This window comes from Homo sapiens, chromosome 7, assembly GCF_000001405.40.
Source record: "Homo sapiens chromosome 7, GRCh38.p14 Primary Assembly".
Lineage (NCBI taxonomy): Eukaryota > Metazoa > Chordata > Mammalia > Primates > Hominidae > Homo > Homo sapiens.
In genome coordinates this window covers 18,955,540-18,975,415 of record NC_000007.14, presented here as the reverse complement: position 1 = coordinate 18,975,415, position 19,876 = coordinate 18,955,540, and the positions used below count along the sequence as shown (strand labels likewise).

The 19,876-nt window shown below is 38.0% G+C and overlaps 1 protein-coding gene across 5 annotated transcripts in view; it reads right to left on the bottom strand.

The window, feature by feature from the left end:
* Positions 1-19,876, bottom strand: part of HDAC9 (histone deacetylase 9) — a 915,592-nt gene that overhangs the window by 27,001 nt on the left and 868,715 nt on the right. The window lies entirely within an intron of this gene.

Sequence of the window (19,876 nt, the reverse complement as noted above, 5' to 3'; positions counted from 1 at the left end):
AAACATTGCTACTTGAATCATTAACTTTAAGAAAATGAAGTTGGAATATTAAAGAAAAAGAAAAGCCCAGAAATGCCAGCATGAATTGAATGGCAACTTTGCCAGAACAATCAGGTTTGTTAGTCCTGGATGTTCTTTCTTTCTCAACCTCAGGGTGTGTACTAGAACAATAATTGACTTAAAACTTTAATATATATACTGGCTGATGTTGGAGCCCATCCATATGTCATACTGATGTTTCTTTTTTTGAGGCAGGAAAGGAGAAAGAGAGGAAAATAGAAGGTCATTTCATGAGAACATGCCAATGGGATAAATATGAAAGAGCATAGTTAATGGCTTTCTTGCAGCCCTTAGGCTATTTTTTTGTGAAATGATGAGTAGCCCCAAATCAAAGCAGGAGAATCTCCCTAGGTGCTGACATGACTCACCAGGTTAGTACTATCTCTGCAGCCTGACTAGTTGGCAAGAACTTTGGTATGCAGTGTTTGCTTACTTCTTGGAAGAAAAAGCCTTGTTTGAGTGGAAAAGGCAAATGGATGAACGCTGGATTGGGCAGTAAGATAACAGGGTTCTGGACCCAGCACTGCCATCCCAATGACATTAGTGAGGCTTTTCAGGACTTTATTTCTGTCTCTGAAATAGGGAGATGCCTCAAGTCTCTTGCAGCTCTAACATTTTATGAGTGGCCTTTATTTCTTACTGTTTCATAGAGGAACAGATGTCACATTAGGAGAGGATACTAAGTCTCCCCATCTGTTCCCCATGCCAACAAGACCATCTGACATAGGTGTCCATTACTATTTAACTTGCTGTGATCCCTTATTCTGACCAAAGTCTGAGAATCATAAAGTTTTTAATTTGAACCAAACAATAACAATTCTGTCAATGAATCCAAAAACTAACATTTTGTAGAAGCTAAGGCTTTTCCACATGTCGAGGACACAAAGATGCTTCCCTAACACCAAGAAATGCATGGTCCAGTTGAGACAGCCCTGTTAGTTAAGAATTACAATTCTGTGTGTAAAATGCCCACAGTGACCTTGAACGGGAATAAGTAGAACACGTATTTAAGATGATGGAAAAGTATGGGAAGACTTGCCAGGAAAAATAACACTTGACTGAGTATTTGAAAGATCATTAGAAATTAGAGTGCAAATGTGCTCCTAAAAACCTAATAGTTGATCATCCTGATGTCTTGATTGCCTTTCCAAATCTTTTCTTGATCTTCAGCAGAGTGAGGTCATGGGATATCCCTGGAAGGGGAAACAGCACATACAAATATACAGAGACTGGAGTCTCTGTGTTTTACTGGGTGACCGTCAACTGCTGGGAATGACTAGAACATAGGAAGAGTCTGGAGTGGGATGGATGAGACTGCTATGGTAGGCAAGGGCTAATTAATACACACTCTTGAATGACACTCTGATGATCCTGGACTTCAACCTGAGGATGATCAGGGGGCATTTTAGGCAGACAAGGTATAGAATCAGGCTTATGTTTTTAAAAGATCCCTTTGGAGAGATTATGGGTGATGGATTGGAAGGTGATAACAGTGGGGGCAGGAAGACCAATTTCACATCTTGGCAAAAGTCCAAGTGGGAAACCATGATGTCTAATCCAAAACGAAGTAACAGAATCGAAACGAGAAGACACTAAGAGAGATTTGGGAGGTTGAAAATGTATCTTTGGCCTACCCTACATCTCTCAACTTTGAAAGTTATTTCTGAATTGACAGTTCCATTCCCAGGGCCTAGTTTCGCTAGATCACAATGCCAAATACTATCCAGCTCTAATATTTCATGATTGGCCTTTCTTTATCTTACTGTTTCACGAAGGAACAGATGTCACATTAGGGGAGGAAATTCAGTCTCACCACCCACTTTCCATGTCAACAAGACCTGTTGACATGGGTGTCCGCTACTATTAAACTTACTTTCAAGTTAATGTTATTGTAGTATTACCCAAGTTGAAAATTCCATATACCATCTATAAGTACATATATTGTAATGAGTTACATAAAATATTATTATTAAACGTTATTTTAGCAGATGACATTTACAAAGCTAGTGATGCCTTATGACATCCTTTTCTTGTTTTCTATGGTGGCTAACATGGGGACTCTGACAAACACACTACATGTGGCTAGTGGCTTATGGGTCAAATTATAAAGACTAGAGGAAAGACAAACTAGCATTATTGAGAACTAAATATGTGCCAAGACTGTGCTCGGTGTTTCTACATTTATAATTTGTAATTTTATTTAACCCTGGTGACAACTATTTAGGCAATGTCTGGTAGTGTTTTTGAAGATCACATGGCTAATAGGCAGAGGAGCTAAAATCCTTACTCAGCACTAATTTTAAATTGCCTCTTCCTCTGCACTCTGCTGTCCTCCACCCACCTTCCAGTAGACATGAAAATACCAAAAAGCTCAATTATAAAATTCTCAGCTTAAAAGAATTATGTATATTGCAGATTACTTACTAAAGAAATAATCTTTGGAAATGATACATTACCCTTGTACTTTAAGATATGTGATTCAGTTGACACACATTTTCTAGACTTTGTGGTTTATTTGGACAGTGTGAGACAATCATGTTGAAACTAGTTCACTCTACTCTTAATTTCTCATAAAATTGCACTATTGCAAGTACCTTTTACCAGGTAAATTATTGAGGCTATCATAAAACTGGAGACACGGCTAATTGAAGAGTATGAATAAGAACCTCATCAAAGGCTGGGTGTGGTGGCTCATGCCTGTAATCCCAGCACTTTGGGAGGCTGAAGGGGGTGGATCACTTGAGGTCAGGAATTTGAGACCAGCCTGGCCAACACGGTGAAATCCCGTCTCTACTGAAAATACAAAAAATATCCAGGCGTGGTGGTGCATGCCTATAATCCTGGCTACTCCGGAGGCTGAGGCAGGAGAATCCTTTGAACCCGGGAGGCCCAACTTGCAGTGAGCTAAGATTGTGCCACTGCACTCCAGACTGGGTGACAGGGCAAGACTCCATCTCAAAAAAAAAAAAAAAAAAAAAAAAAAAAAGAGAAGTTCATCGAAAATTGAGCTAACTAAAAGTATTTCCAGCTTGGAGATCCCACACTAATCCGGAAGAAGTCACTGGATCACAATGGAGCACAACTTCCACATTTATAAATAATAGTGGTAGGCTTAATGCTATGAAAGTTTTATTCCTGCTCTCATTCTCACTTATCGTGGTCCTTCTGATCTCATGTTACATATCAATCTTGGATGTTACAATAAATTTGCTATGGCAGAAAACCTTTTCTTTTCTATGAGCCTATGAACTCTTGAAGAGGTCAGCAAACATTCTTTGCACATAATATGCACATTTAGAATAAGCAAGGGCTTTAATTACCAAGCATTGGGTCTTATTTCTCAACAGGAGAGGTCTAGGCCACAAACAAACATCTTTACTTCCATAACACAATCAGGACAGAAGGTATGCATGGTTAATAGCAGTCTTTAAGAAGAATGACTGACAATGATCCTTTAAATTTTGGCCCATATGTATGTCAGTACTAGGAAGGATTTAAAATAGTTGAGACCTTTTTGGATAAAATTGAATGTGTATAAAATATCCTGCTAAGTTAAGATTAAATATTAGAAGTTTGGCTTTTATCCACATGTATGAGTTTCCTGACTCAGAAATAACCCAAAACTTTAAATTATATTTGGCCTCTGGCAAAGTCTATAAAAACAAGGGAAATATTCTACATTAATAATGCATTTATAGACGACTATCTCTATTCATAGAGGAGAATAATTGAAATGGAAGTGGGTACAGCACCGTCTGTGCAATATGCAGACAATTCAAACCCCATAATTTATGGGTTATATTTTCATGTGATGTGTAGGGTCTTTTCTTCCATTACAGAAACAGATGTGCAAGAAAGTCATATCTATTGGCATAGGAATAATATCACCATTATCACATACGAGAAATGAACAAAGGTTGACTGCTAGGGTTTTCAGGAGCTGTTATTCATAAAGTCAAATATTAGTAATGAGCCACAACTGGGTTGCTCTCCTATGGCTATGCAACTGGCAAAAGAGAAGAGTTTTCCATTAAAATTGGACATGCACACTCCCTCTTCAGTCATATCCTCTATCCTTATTCATTTTTCCCACTATGTAAATTGTCCCACTTTTCAGGACTTTTTAAGGACTATCCAGCCTTCACCATTCTGTGTTTTTGTTTTTTTCTGGCAAAAGTAACACAAATAATGAATCTACAATAAAGATAAAAAGTATAGAATGGAATGTAGAGAGTCAAGAGTTAGAGGTGAGGGCCATAGATGGGGTTTCACTGGGTTACACAAGACCCAGGAGAGGGCATCCTGCAGGTACTCTGTAAACAGACTTCAGTATAAACCAGATTGTTCTTGGAAATGGACAATTTGGAAAAATAGGCAGTTGTTGACTCATGAAAATCTGTGTTACACAAGTCACCTATCTACCAAAAGTTTTCTCAATTCAAACCCCTTTGCTACTTTGAAAACTTCCTGACCCCAGAAATCCCTCATTCCATCATCATTTTGGAGCCTTAGAGCTGTCACTCCTTCTCAAATTTGCTTTTTTTTACCTTTTTTCCATTTGAATGATGTTGCCTTTCATCTTTACACACCGGGTTCTCATAGGAAAATAAGCTGCTGCTAATCTTAACCTCTTGCTATCTCCTTCAACCACAGAAATTATTAACACCTGGGGCTTACAAGGAGGTCTATGGATTTTCTAAAACTTAATACGTTTTTAAGATAAATTTTTTAGTTAAATAGAGAACTTTGGCATGATCCAAAACATTGTTTAAATGCAAAAATAAAGACACATTGAAAATTGGTGCATAAATTGAGTGACCAGGTAATTTTTCATCTAAATTGGGGCTATTTTGAGGCTAAATGGGGATAAAAATAAAAATTATATGTTTTGGAAATATTTGTTGGCCAAGAAATTATTTTTATCAGTTGGCCTATAAAATAGTCCTATTCAAAATTTATTGTTACAACTAAAATTCATTTCAAAAAATAAAAATTGCATAATTCATGTTTGTCAAAGCATAGCTACCAGCTTCTTCTTTATATTGATTATCTGAACCTTAGAAAATAACACAAGCAGAATTATTATTCCTGCTGAATATCACACATGTTAATCAGTTTTGTAGCTCTATCACTCACTGATACAATATACTGATATTCTTATGAAAAATGTATTTTTTGTTTCAACGGGGTCTAAATACTTTAGGCTTTTTGATAGAATTGCCTATAATCTTGAAAACTTAATTGTATGGTTAATAAGTTTGAAATTTTTAGCATTTTTAATTTATCCTTCTCAAGATACTGCAATATTTTTCATTGAGAAATAGTCTCTACAACTATGGTGCTACCTGGTAAGCTCAGAACAATTTCTGCTAAAAGCAGAATATCTTCACTTTTAATTTTTAAAATACTGAAATGAGTAACTATTTTATTCCAAATGTCTCATGGTTACTGTCTTTTATCTCCTTTCAGCATACTCCACTTTGGCAAACATTTTATGTAACACAAATAAGTTAAATGTCAAAAAGTTTTCGTTGTTTTTGACTCTTCAAAATTTTACCAAATTCAGATGCTGCTATGTCTTCAACTTCACTAATTTTCTTCTTCTGTACTGCATAATATGCCATTAATCCATCCAAAGTTCGGACTTTTAAAAATATCAAATGCTGTATTTTTTTTTCTCTAAAATGTCAATTTGCATGGTTTTTATCTTTTTAATTTATCTCTTCATTATGTTTACTCTTTCCTCTTCATATTGGAAGTACATTTTTAACATTCTGAGTCAGTTTCTGTTTATTGATTTGCCTTGTGATCCCTTTCCTACATTTTTGCATGCCTAGTAATTTTCATTTGGATGCCTGACATTGGTAATTTGAACATTTTTTGGCTATTGGATTTTGTCATATTATTTGAGAGAGTATTGGACTTTGTTTTAGCATGAAGTTAAGTTACTCACAATTAGCAAAGTACTTTTGAGGCTCACTTGTACACTGTGTTAGGATGGCTAAAATGTAGCCTTTAATGTAAGGCTAATTTAGTCCTATAACTAAGATGATACCATTTTGATGTCTCTGTTTGATGCCTTGTGTATTATAAGATCTCTCCACTCCGGCTAATGCAAACTATTCCCAGTTCTGTGAACTCCTTGAATTGTTTAACCTGCTACTTTTCGTTGGTTAGTTCCTCAGCTTTATGGAGTTTCACCTTATATATGTAAAGAAAATTATTCAAATGAAACATTAAGGAAACTCCTGTACATGCAGCACTCTGTGCACGCGCGCACGTGTGTGTGTGTGTGTGGCAACTTCATCTCCAATATTTTGCCTCACAAATTCTAGCCACTTTATCCTCCTTTATTTAGAGGATAAAGTGATTCTTTTTTTTTTTTTTTTTTTTTTTTGAGAGGGAGGCTCGCTCTGTCGTCCAGGCTGGAGTGCAATGGCGAGATCTCGGCTCACTGCAAGCTCTGCCTCCCGGGTTCACACCATTCTCCTGGCTCAGCCTCCTGAGTAGCTGGGACTACAGGCGCCCGCCACCACGCCCAGCTAATTTTTTGTATGTTTAGTAGAGACGGGGTTTCACCCTGTTAGCCAGGATGGTCTCGATCTCCTGACCTCCTGATCCGCCCGCCTCGGCCTCCCAAAGTGCTGGGATTACAGGCGTGAGCCACTGCGTCCAGGGATAAAGTGATTCTGTAACTTTGATGGCTTTATTCTCAACTCAGTAATACCACTGGACCCTATTTGGGTTCTTCTTCTCTATGCTGCAGCCTGGAAACTTCCTCTAGTCAGTTACCCTGGAATCTGCGGTACTCATTTTGTTTCTTCATTGCCTGCAGGCCAATGTCTGAAAGAAAGACAGTGTTCCATATATGTATGGAACATTAGATATCTTTTTCTCTCTCTCTGTATCATATATCTCTCTATCTCTATCTGTATATAGTTTTCTCTTGTTTCTGATCAAAGGGCAACTTCGATAGCAGTTACTCTTTCATACATGGGGTCAGAGGTCCACTTATTGAATATTTTTGATTTCTAACTAATTGGAAAAATATAAAAATTCAGAAAGCTAATTTGCAAAATGGTTCAATATTACTATAGATGTTCAAACATTCCTAAAGTATGGTTGATAAGGGGAAGCTAAGAGAGAAATTTTGAACTGTCTTGCTGAAGTTTCTTTTTTCTTTCTTTCTTTTTTAGGTGGAGTTTTGCTCTTGTTGCTCAGGCTGGAGTGCAATGGCGCGATCTCGGCTCTCTGCATCCTCCGCCTCCCGGGTTCAAGCGATTCTCTTGCCTCGGCCTCCCGAGAAGCTGGGATTACGGGCATATGCCACCACGCCTGGCTAATTTTGTATTTTTAGTAGAGACCGGGTTTCTCCAAGTTGGTCAGGCTGGTCTCACACTCCCAACCCCAGGTGATCCGCCCGCCTCGGCCTCCGAAAGTGCTGGGATTACAGGCATGAGCCACTGTGCCCGGCCTGAAGTTTCTTTTTTGTTTTTTAACTGTCCTCACCTGTCACATATCTAAAACAGTGTATTTTATTTACTCTATGTTTATGTAAAGAGTTTTAAAATTTTGACAGTAGCTTAGATTTTCATTGGTAGAATATCAAGCTTGTTTAGGTTTTTAAGAGTTATTAAATGTCATTAACTTCATAATTAAATCTTAAGCTATTTATAAAAATTGTGTGCTCCATACGTAATGCTAAGTACATTCCTGCTCTATAAGATGTTCCACCGAACTTTAGATTTGTATATCAATGCAAAACCAAATGATTTTATTATCAGTGTTACACTTTTACCAAAATTTATAACAAATAGCTTTCACAATAACACCCTGCTTTTTTTTTTTTGGGGGGGGGGCAACTTTATTTACAAAAATTTTGCTTTGATTCCATAAATTGAATGAAAAATATAGAATAATCATTAGAATTTAGTGATTTTTCTGTTTGAAGCAATTAAGGACACTGTATCATTAGCAAGAAATGATACTAATGGAGTCAAGAAAGAAGAATTATTACGTCACTCCTGAACTTTTAAAAGTAATACCAGAAACTGAAAATTGATTTACAAAATTTTTAATCGTAGTCATTTTATCTAAATAAAAAGTAATGCTTCATGGAGTGTTACATAAATGCACCCTCTGCAACTGCACTTCTTAAATTGTTCCTTTTGGTTTTAGTTTTTATTTTTGTTTTGTTTTGGTCAATAATAACTAAATTTTAAAGTAGAAACTGCTGCTTCTTTAACAGCATTGTGTCTTCAGTGTTCGTCTGTGATTTTACTCTGTCCCCCTGATGAATAATGAATATCGACAAACATTTTGTTCAAGTTACATATTCATTATCAATTCGCTTGGGAGACAGAAGTAGAGCACTCATTTTTAAAATTCACATTCACACTTGTTTGTGAGCTCATTTCAGCTAATAATGTTGATAGCGAAATTAAAATATGTAACAAAACATAAAACAAATATACACATAGTGAAGTTGCAATGTATAATAATTGACAAAATCTCTGTAGCAAAAGTATTGAGAGTGTAAATGCTGTATGGAAGGCTGGTCCTTTCTATTTCCTGAACATACTTTATTCACACCTAACTGCTGATTTCTCAAATTTTCCCCTAACTCTATCTTTTTTTTGGTCTGTTTGTTTTTTTGAGTCGGAGTCTCGCTCTGTCACCCAGGCTGGAGCGCGGTGGTGCAATCTCCATTCATGGTAACCTCTGCCTCCCGGGTTCAAGCAATTCTCCTGCCTCAGCCTCGTGAGTAGCTGCGATTACAGGTGCACATCACCATGCCCAGCTAATTTTTGTATTTTTTAGTAGAGACAGGGTTTCATCATGGTGGCAGGCTGGTCTTGAACTCCTGACCTCATGATCTGCCTGCCACGGCCTCACAAAGTGCTAGGATTACAGGCGTGAGCCACCGGCTCCCGACCCCTAACTCTATCTTCTAACAGCTTGGTAGCTTCATGCACGTCACAAGCTACAGCAACCATGACTGGTGTGCCAAGTGGCAGCAATGTTGAGTATTTCTTCCTTTAACTCCCAGATCAGAAATTTAAATGTCATTTACAACTGGTATTCGTGAGGACCCTACACGCTTTTCTTAAAAGGGAAGCGCTAGTTATATCACAAAAGGACCAGGAAAAGAGAGATGGGTTATCAATTGTATTTTGTATAGATTTAACCATGTGTTCAAAGTAAAAATTATATTTACTTTCCACGCATTTCTCATACAACCAGAGGAAACAATGATAGAAGCTAAAGCAAAGTACAGGTGTAACACATCCATCCTTACTCACTTAATAAAACTATAGATAATAATACTTCATTCAGAATGAAAAATCTGAAACAAACAGTATCTGGATGAGATGTTGAGACAACAGACATAAACCAAGACTGTCTGTGGCTGACAAGAAAGAACCGTCATTGTAGCAGCCACTGTCAGGGCCTCATCCACATGTCCCGCCCCTTACTAATTGAGTGCACACAACCTCATTTCCATTCACCAGAACCAGCATGTCTTTTCAGGACAGCTTTCAGTGCCCCTGGAGAGTTTTTGCTCTATGATTGGCCAGAAATGTCAGGGTCATATTGTCCCCCAGGAGCAGTATTCAGGCAATAACTGTTTGGAGTTGGAGCATAAATTTCTCTGCTCCCTCGCAGCTCACATGAAATAACTCTGAGCTATGTGTTTTACATCAGCTCTCAGAATTTCCCCAGAGGAATTAAACTCTAGATACCTACAAGGATAGTTGAACAAATGACACTTCATTTCTTTTCTCGTCACACTTCACTATTCCTCTTCCTTTTCTCCCTATGCCTGCACCTGCAAATAAATTACTTGTACATGACTCCTTGTGTATCAGGATCTGTTTCTGGTAGAAGCCAAACCAAGATAATCTCCCAACATGTAACAGACGTAAGGAAAACCTGGTAGGAACTGTTCCTTTCATACATCTCAAGCGTCCTCTCTGTCAATGTTTTGATATATTCAAGCCCTGAGACACATATTACTAAAATGCATTGAATGTTGCATTAGAAACCAACCTTTTTTTGAAAATTAACTTTTATTGAGTAATAAACTATCCCATGTCCTGGAAATAATAGTGCCAACATGAATAGTGAATTATCTCCCTGTACATAGACAAACATGGATATTCCAGTTTTCTTAGCAAGCATGAAGCCAGATTAAGGGGTAATAGATGAAATGAATACTCATCTTCTGGGAAAGAGTCAGTCTCTTGGATACGGAGCTGTGAGTGCATTAATCAGAAGCTATTTATGAATAAACTGCAAAGCTAATTTGTTAACTCACCAAAGAAGTATAGCTTTTATGAGGGCTATACTATTACTGTCAGGATGACCAGTCCATTTTATCTCAATTTCCCTACATGGGAAACCAAATTGCATTCAAAGGATTGTTTCTATCACTCAGTGATATGGTTAGGCTTTGTGCCCCCACCCAAATCTCATCTTGAATTGTAATCCTCATAATCCCCACAGGTTGAAGGAGAGACCTGGTGGGAGGTGATTGAATCATGAGGGTGGTGTCCCCCATGCTGTTCTCATGATAGTCAGTGAGTTCTCAGGAGATCTGATGGTTTTATGTCTCTGACAGTTCCTCCTTCACACATTTGCTCTCTCTCACCTGCCACCATGTAAGATATGTCTCTTTCCCTTCCATCATGATTACAAGTTTCCTGAGGCCTTCCCAGCCCTATGGAACTCTGAGTCAATTAAATCTCTTTTCTTTATAAATTGCCCAGTGTTGGGCAGTTGTTTAAAACAGTGTGTGAATGGAGTAATATACTCTTACTTTTCGATTTTATTACCTACCAAGCATTCTGATATTGGAAATACAGGAATGTGGATACTTTCATAGATCTTACAGGTTGCCATTAATCAAATGATCATGCTCTATGAGTACATGTCTCACAGTGAAATAAGCTACTAAAATGAACGTACTGCATTCTATGAAATTAAAAAAAAATCTGATCTTAACTGATAATCAGAAGGTGTATATCTGATCAAGGGACAATTAAGCTGAGATATGAAGTATGTATAGGAGTTAAGTAGTCAAAGAGGAATAGCAGGAAAAAATATATGAAGGTCTTGAGGAAGGTGGAAAAATAGCACACTAGAGGAACTGAAAGAAGGTAAGTTGGGTCAAGAGTAGAAAGCAGTAGAATGGTAATGGGCCCATTTAGGTTTGGTAATTGTAAGTTTCTAAGAGGTCAAACTGCTATACATCATGACAATCTCTTGAAGACCTGCATTGGGGAAATCTCTGGAAGACCAGTGTTAGGGAAAGTTGTTTGTCCTGTATATCCAGGGTTGAGATTTTCTTAGATGGGTAAAGTTGAAGGGCAGGATTGTTGGTAAGGTAGATTGAAACGTAGAAGGGCAAATGAATGTTATAATTTTAATGCTGAATGGAAAAAGAAGTGAAGACAGGAAAGGGCAATGAATGAGGAGAAATGAGGAATTAAAAACTAGACAATAAAACAGTGCCTTAGGTGTGCAAGTCAACAATTCTATGACATATGGGTACAATAGCCTGATGTATCCATCCCGTCAGAGATAACGCTTGCTAGTGTTGCTTTAAGATTCACCTTTTTTAGGTCTGCTAAGACAGTAACAGATGGTTTCCTTTTTCATTCTTTATCCATAGGAGTTTATGTCTTTAGAAAAAAAGAAAACTCTGTTATTGTTTTAGTGGGTTTCCATGAAGAAGTGAAAATAAATGAATACTCTTTATCTATTATCATTATTTGAAAGTAATCCTCCTTCTCCATTTTTAACTCCACAAATAAGTCTTATTATTCTAATATATCTCATTTCTGCCAACTCTCCCTAGTGCCTTGTGTTATTGTGCATTGGATTTTATTCATTTATTTAAATATGTATGTATTTATGTATTTGAGTTCATATTTTGTTGGGCTTAATCTCTGCATATATTGAGGGTCTAAATTAGAAATACATTCCTCCAGGAAGGAATTTTACTGGCTTCCTCCTGAACCCAGGAGTGGACAAAGATCAAAACTCTTTAGTATCTATCAAATTCATATCCCTTTGATGCGGATCTTAAGATTTCTTGTGCATTATAGCACTGATGCCATTATTTGCTTCAGAGATATTCCCCATTTTTGTGTTGCTTACTGCTCCTTATTAAATTTCAGCTTATGTTTTTTCCCCTCTCCTATTTGCTGACATTCTAGCAAGCCCACTAATGTATTTCAATAGATTGTTTTAATGCATGCAAACTCTATTACATTTTAGCAGAGTCCTGTTATAGTGTCTATACTTGGGAAGAGGCAATCTGGTAGAACATTGTTCTCATTTTTGAAATGGAGTGGGAACAGGAAGGTCATATAGATCCTTTAATCGAAACAAAGTGGGCTTTGACATCACAGTAAGACCAGGATTAAAATCTTAGTTTTCCTTCTTACCAGTAGAAGGAACTTGAACAAGCTACCTAAACTTGATAAGTCTCAAGTTATTCATGAACAAAATGAGGAAAGAACTGTGTATTGCAGAATTATGTGAGGACTAGAGATAATATATGTAAATACTTAGGAAACGATCTTCCCTCAAACCTGACTTTCTTCTAGTACGTCCTAGTCTCAGTGAATGGTATCATGGTATCATGTGTATGTGTGAGATTGATCTGGGTGCTAACACCTGAGTATGTGATCACAAAGTATTCCTACTCTTTCATAATCCACAAAGAGTTTTCAGTCCTAGAAGCATGCATAGTTTTATTTTCTTGGTTTAATTGGTTTTCCCTTGGTAGATGTGTGAGTGAAAAAAAAATTGCAGACGCAGTTGGAATAAAAAATACCCCCCAAAACTGTGTCTCATAGCAGATGGCAGACTTTTCTTTTTTATTCTGATACATTCTAGTATTAGGGCGCCACCAACACAACAACCAGACTTTGAACATTTGAAGAGAATGGTTAATTAGAAGTTCAAAGTCAACTTTCACAAAGCCATGTGTACAAGTCTGACCTGGCTGTGATACAAGCGAGGGTTGGCAGGGTTAATAGTGGGAAAATGCCTAACGCTGCTTTTCTTCAATGAAGGTCTGCCTGGCCCAGGACTCTAACGTCAAGGCCTCTGTCTAAAGCCAAAGAATATATGACAAATAGCAGCTCCCACCTGACAACAGTCAGGGCTTTAAACTCAACAGGGCAGGGATTTGAAATTCTGCCAATCCTTGCATTTTTTTCTGATTAGAAGTATTTTACAAGTTTATAAGGGGCTCAAAAGTGGACGCACAGCTCCATGGCTTCTTGTACTTTGGCACTGAGCTTCCAGAACTGACTGTGGCTAAATCTCAATTAGCCAGAACTTCCCAAATTCCTAATTTTAACTTAACTTAAATTTTGTCTAAATATGTCACTTTGGGAAGAAATGGGAAAAACTCAACCCAAAAATTGCAAAAGGAATGAACTTATTTGTGACATAGTGTAACTTAGAGGCTAAGAGGGAAGACTGGATCTAGACTGCTTGGTTTATGATCTTGCTTTTGCCCACTCATTAGCTGTGTAACCTTGGGGAATACAATGAACCTTGATGTGCCTCAGTTTACTTCACTATAAAATGGGAATGAAAATAGTAACTACTTTACAGGGTAGAGAAGATTAAACAAATTAATTTTTAATAGTACCTCACACACTGTAAGCACTCAATTATTATTACATTATTTTATTATTTGCTATCATCTTACAGGGTTTGTATTGTGTAAATAATTTCATCCAATGTTCCTCCGTAACTTCAATACAGTGAAAATGTATATTCCGGAGGATACTGCCTTCTCCCCAAATTGTTAAGACTTTCTATCAGCAAAGTGTCTTTTTCTTAAGTCTAGTATTTTTCACTTCCTTTCAAATCTTTTCTTTCTTCACAATTTCCTATCGTGGGAGCTGATCACCACCATCATCTCAGTTTTCCAAGCCAGAAAACCCAGACATTATTAATCCTCTCCCTGTCAGTTAATTACCATATTATACCAATTCTACTTCTGAATTAAACAGCTCATATTTGACTATAAGCCCTGCTAATCTCCTGTCTTCAGAGCAAGCACAGTGATCTTTCGATTTGCAGGCTTTATCATGCTTCTTCCCTGCTGGAAATAAAACCTCAAATGGCTATGAGCTAAAAGCTCCTTTCCAATATTGGGAATACCTTCTTGTCCTTCTCCCCTGGATCTCAATAGGATGGAAATGGAAGAGAGAGGAGAAGAGACATACGAAAAAAAGGCAGAAAATCAAAATGAAGTAGATGGGGACAAAAAGAAAGAGGAAAAACTGAGTTTGAGTTAGAATTTTGGTGTGCAGTCAAGAAGCTAGTAAAGTCTGTGAGATAATTTATGCAGCACACGTTGCAATCTGGAGAAACAACGCTTTTAGTTGTGTACATAGCCCCATGAGGTCAAAACATTGGATAACTTCCCCCACCCCCCAACAAGAGATGTATACAAATTCCTTTCAGCTTAGAAACAATTTGGATTTTCTCCTGGATTATCTGATGTAAATGCCCCTTCTCCTTGTACTGGGGTCGGTAGAGGATATTATAATGATGGGAGAGGATGGTATTTCAGATAAAAGAAGACAATGGTTGTTATCTTTACGGTAACATTACATAAAATACGGTCTTATTTTACTTTTATAGCCTTTTCCTTCAATTCATAACCAGTTCTCTTAATCGCCAAGAAAATTAGGTACCACATATTTTGATTATTCATTCTAATACATTGACAGTGTTTATTTAGTATTTTATTTTACCTATGAGTTATCTCCCATTGGAAATATAATAAAAAGTAAAATCAACAAAATCAGCATTCCTTTGTTCTTTTCTAGTATCAGTTGTTACTTCTAAGACCAGTTCCCAGAACTACAGATATAATAATATTAGTAATAATAATAGGAAGAGGAGGACGAATAAGAGTAAAGAATAACAATAACATAGAGGAAGAGGAGGAGAAGCAAGACATCACTCACTCAAAAACACATATACAAAACATAAATCAAGCACAGTTCTGACAAGGAGTAGGTGTCAAATATACTTGCCTCTCATCTCCCAGGGAAAATCTGATTTCATTCTTATTACTCTAGAATGTGTGAGAGTGTGCTCTGTGCATTGCTGGTATGGAACCATGGAGATAACTGATTATGCTTTAGTCAATTACATAGTTACTTGTAACATTCCCCTGCAACAAAGGAAATCATGTCCATTTTCAAATTGTCCTCAAAAGTTGGATAAATTCTGAGGATTATAAATTCACTTCTCATTGCCCTAAATAATACTCTGTGTGTGTGTGTGTGTGTGTGTGTGTGTGTGTTTAAAACAACAGAGGATTAGCTATACTCACAAATTTTATATACAAGAAACATGGAAATTGCTCCTGTATTTATGTAAAACACATTTGACAAGAACATATGGTGAAATTGCAGGCACTGTCCATTCCTCATTCTTGCCTGTGCCACCATTTTGCCTTGGTTGGCATAATAAGAAATTCTAAAAAGACCTCAATTCACTAAGTAAGGGATAATCCCTAGAGTGGGGAAAAGTGAAAGTGGGGCTACAGGGAGAAAATTCTTACTGTTCTTTTAGGATTCTTCTGCCTATTTGCCACTTTGTTGTCACAGTAGCGCCAACGTGGAAAAGCAATTCTAGTGATGTGCCATGTCATTCCTGGTGAAATTCCTCAAACAAGTGGCTTGCTCATTGTCACATGGTTGTGGAGTGGAGGAGAAGATTACGATGGAATTCGTATCATTTTAAAATCTCCTACACTGGTGTTTTTCAACTTATCAGAGGCAAACCACTGCAGGGTTGCAGCAAAATTGTGAAAGAATCCTCAAATCCTTGTGCATGTATATGTTTCCTTGATCCACAAAACAAAAGATGCTATGGTTATGATTATTATCATTCAAGAAGTCTACAAAATTGGTTGACACTTAAAAGGAATACTCTTCTCACTAAGAAATTTAAATAAATAAAAGGAAACTATGGCTCTATACTTGTTCTCATGTTTTGGGGTTTCACAGATTAATATCAATATCATTCATTATTTGTTTTTAGAACTTAAAGTGATAGTCTTTCAAACTAAATAAATTTACTTTTATGGGAAACTCACTTCATGGTTCCTCCCCTCCCAAATCTGTGAAAAAGTTATAATGGGCCAGCACTGGTATAAAGAGTGGTGTTTTAGAACTCTGGCGCCCACCATGCCATGCAGAAAAGTGAACGAATTCAACGGTGCATGGATGCTGTAAATCACTAGGGTGGGTTTCAGGAAAGGAAACATCCATATGAGAGTTATTTATCTCACTCTGGGCTGACTCGTTACTGGCATCACTTGTTGATTATTACAGCCAGTTAGCCAAGTGCTAGATCCAGCTCTGAGAATTGTCACCCCAAGCTTACCCGTGGAAATGGCAACTCACAAAAATAATCCATGTTCTTCCTAACTTAGAAATGACTCATCCTTGTGGGTTGTGAAGAAAGGAGAGGAAATGGACTCTCATGTATTTTGCTTGGTCTTCTTAATCCCTCATTCTGCATGAGTGTGCCAAGGAGTATAAATATGTGAGGTTAGTTACAAAAATCAACGCAGGCTTAGAAGAAAAATGTGGCAAACATTGACAGACTAGCTGATTCATTCATTCAACACACATTTGCAGAGCACCTAATACATGCCAGAGACTGTGCAAAAGATACGGCAATTAAAAACAAGCAGGAACACAGCAGAAATAATATCTGCCATCAAAAGATTGTGCTAAGTTGCCACGTATTGCAGAATTTCCTTTTGTAGGTCTGAATAATATTCTACTTTATGTCTATACAACATTTTCTTTGCCCACTCATCCACTGATGGACACTCAGGTTGCTCCCATCTCTTGGCTATGGTGAATAGTGCCACAAAGTACATGGGAGTGCTAACATCTCTTAGAGATTCTAATTTAAATTCTTTCTGATAAGTCTTCAGAAAGTGAGATGGCTGAATCATATGGTAGTTCTCTTTTTAATTTCTTAAGGAATAACATGAAACTTTTTTTCCATTTTGTCATCTCAAAGATAGTTGACCCTTGCATGCCATCTATCATGTTAAGATGGAACCAGACCCTCTCCTGTCAGGAAGGGTCTTCACCTGTCAGGATAAATCATTGCCCTTCTGTGGCCTGTAAGGCCTTTTCTCTTCAGCTAGATGAGCAACATAAACAAGGACAGGACAACATAAATGATCCTGTTGGAAAATATTCACATACATGTGGCCAGGCAAGGAGCCAACGCACCTCCAGCACCTGCATACCCTCAGCTGGGGGACTCAGTTCTCAAAAAGAAATTCACAGGAGAACTGTCAGCACCTTGCCATGTGCCTTGGGATAAGGCTATCTAGAGACTTGCCTGAATGTTTCCCACATGCTACAAGCCTGCTTCTCAAGAGTAACATAGTTTTCTGATACTGTCGTTGCAAACTGCAGCACAAAAGAACCCTTCAGAACCTGGGCTAGAAGGTGGGCTGAAATCTGAACACCCCCTAAAGTTGAAAGGAGGCACTTGTGTGACACTCAGAGACGTATGTGAAGAGGAAGTGCTCCTGTTGAACAAGGACTACCTTCAGGGGCAGCTTCATAATGGGTTACCTGTGCAGTTGCGAAGCGCCCCACTCTCAGAAAGACCCCATGCTTGGTTCAGTGCTTTGCTGTTACCCTCCAGAAATTATTAATTTTTTTAACAAGGAAGAGTTCACACAGTTTCATCTTGAACTGGGTCTCACAAAATAAGTAACCTGTCCCTACCACTTTCTCTGCCAAAGGGGAAACGAGGAACACAATTAGGGTCCTGGAGTCCCAAAGGAGCAGGTGAAATGGAAGCATTGGTTATAAAACAGTGAGAAGCAAGAGTGCGATTTCATATCTTGTAAGGAAATCAAGCACTGTTTACTAATCAGGGAGCCCATAATTTTAATTTCCCAAGCCATTATGAAGTTTAAGACTCTGAAATACCCACTCGATTTTATTGCTCTGTGGACATTAGAGGGCTCTTTTCTCTTCCTTTAGCATAGAAGAGTGGCCCCTAAGACACATAGTTATAACCACATAAAAATGCACCACACGGTGGTCAAAGCCACAGTGCTGAAACACTTTCTCTCTACCGAGTTTCACTCCACTTCTCAAATGGTGAGAGATCGCTTTCCGATCTTGTGTTTTCTTTCCTTTTACAACCTCAACCCACTATTCAGAGCCCTCTCAACTGACATTTAAGTTGTCCTTGTGGTGATGCTACTATCATTCCTTCTTGGTAAACGTTTTTTCACCTCACCATCACCTTGACTTTCATCAGGACTGGCTACAGAATTTATAGGGCCTGGTACCAAATGAAAATATGGGCTGCTTCTTTAAAACGCAGTAAGAATTTTAGGCAGCAACACCAAGAGCCTTACACTAAGGATGGGGCCCTTCTATGTGTAGGACCTATGTGACCATGCAGGCTGAATGCCCATGAAGCTAGTCCTGATTTTCATTGGCCTGAATTGAGTCACGTACCCATTTCTTAACCAATCACTGTCAAGTGGGTTGACTGCCTTAGACTAAAAACAGCTCCCCTGGAGTTGGAGCTAAGTTGAACTTCCCCCTGAGTTGCACGGTATCTGGTGGCAAAGATTCATGAATAAAACCAGACTCCTTTTGAGTAGATGTGAAGAGTGCATTGTTTCTGGGTATACCAAAATCAGTGTCCACTACACCATATATCCTTGACTCAGAAGGAGGAGCTCTGGTTGCTTATGGCCTTTGTTGTTTATGGTCTTGAAGAGTTATTCAAGTCCTACCTACTCAAATCTGCCTGCTTTTAATGGCCAGGCTCCCAAGCACCTCACACCTGCTGTCAACCCTTCCTGGAGGGACATTCAGAGACAAAAAGATATGATTCCTGTCCTCCTGATGATTATCCTCTAATTTAGCAACCAGAGCTAACAGACATTTAAATATTTGATATTTTTAAGAGAAACATCGAAAATAAATATACCGCTGAACCAACACATATTGGTCTTGAGAAATTATGGCATTATTGGATCATCAGTAATGCTCCAAGCTGGGTGGGGTACTCATTAAGAGTTTAGAAGGAAATGGATTTCACAGACAAGTGATCACTGTTGGGTGGTGTAAAATAGACTTTGGGGCAGAAGAGTGGAATTGACAATCCTTAGTGGCAGGATACTCCTACAGCAAGTTTTGATAGTAGATTGAGTCTTTTTCAAGAGTCAAACAGGTTTGCTTGGCTAGAGCAGACTGTAGAGGTCACTTGAAAACATCAGTAGTGAAAGGAAAAAACTATGCAGTGGAAAATCATTACTAGGAAATTAGATCCAATATAAAAGGCAACAGTAGAGTTTCTAAAGATGTACAGAAATTACGCCTTTTTATACCTATGTGGAAATAGAGTCCTTCACTTCTGTCGTTCCTTTCAAAGCATTTTCACTCTTTCTTCAGTTATTCAACATGCTGTTCAGCCCTTAAGAACCAAGCTCAGGCTATATCACCGTCAAGCAACCTTCCTTACTATCCAGTCCCTCTCACCCCCAGTTGAAAGGGACTGAAGAAACAGACCGCCCCTTGTCTATGACCTCAGTGTACTCTGTGAATACTGTATTGCAATTATTTACTTGGTTGTCTCTCACTCATTGGACTGTTAGCTCCTTGATGCAGAAACTATGTCTTATTCCTCTTCATAACCTCTGTGCCTTGGTAATTGATCAACATGTAATAAGAACTCAAAAATGCCTATTGAAGTGATATGCTCAGAA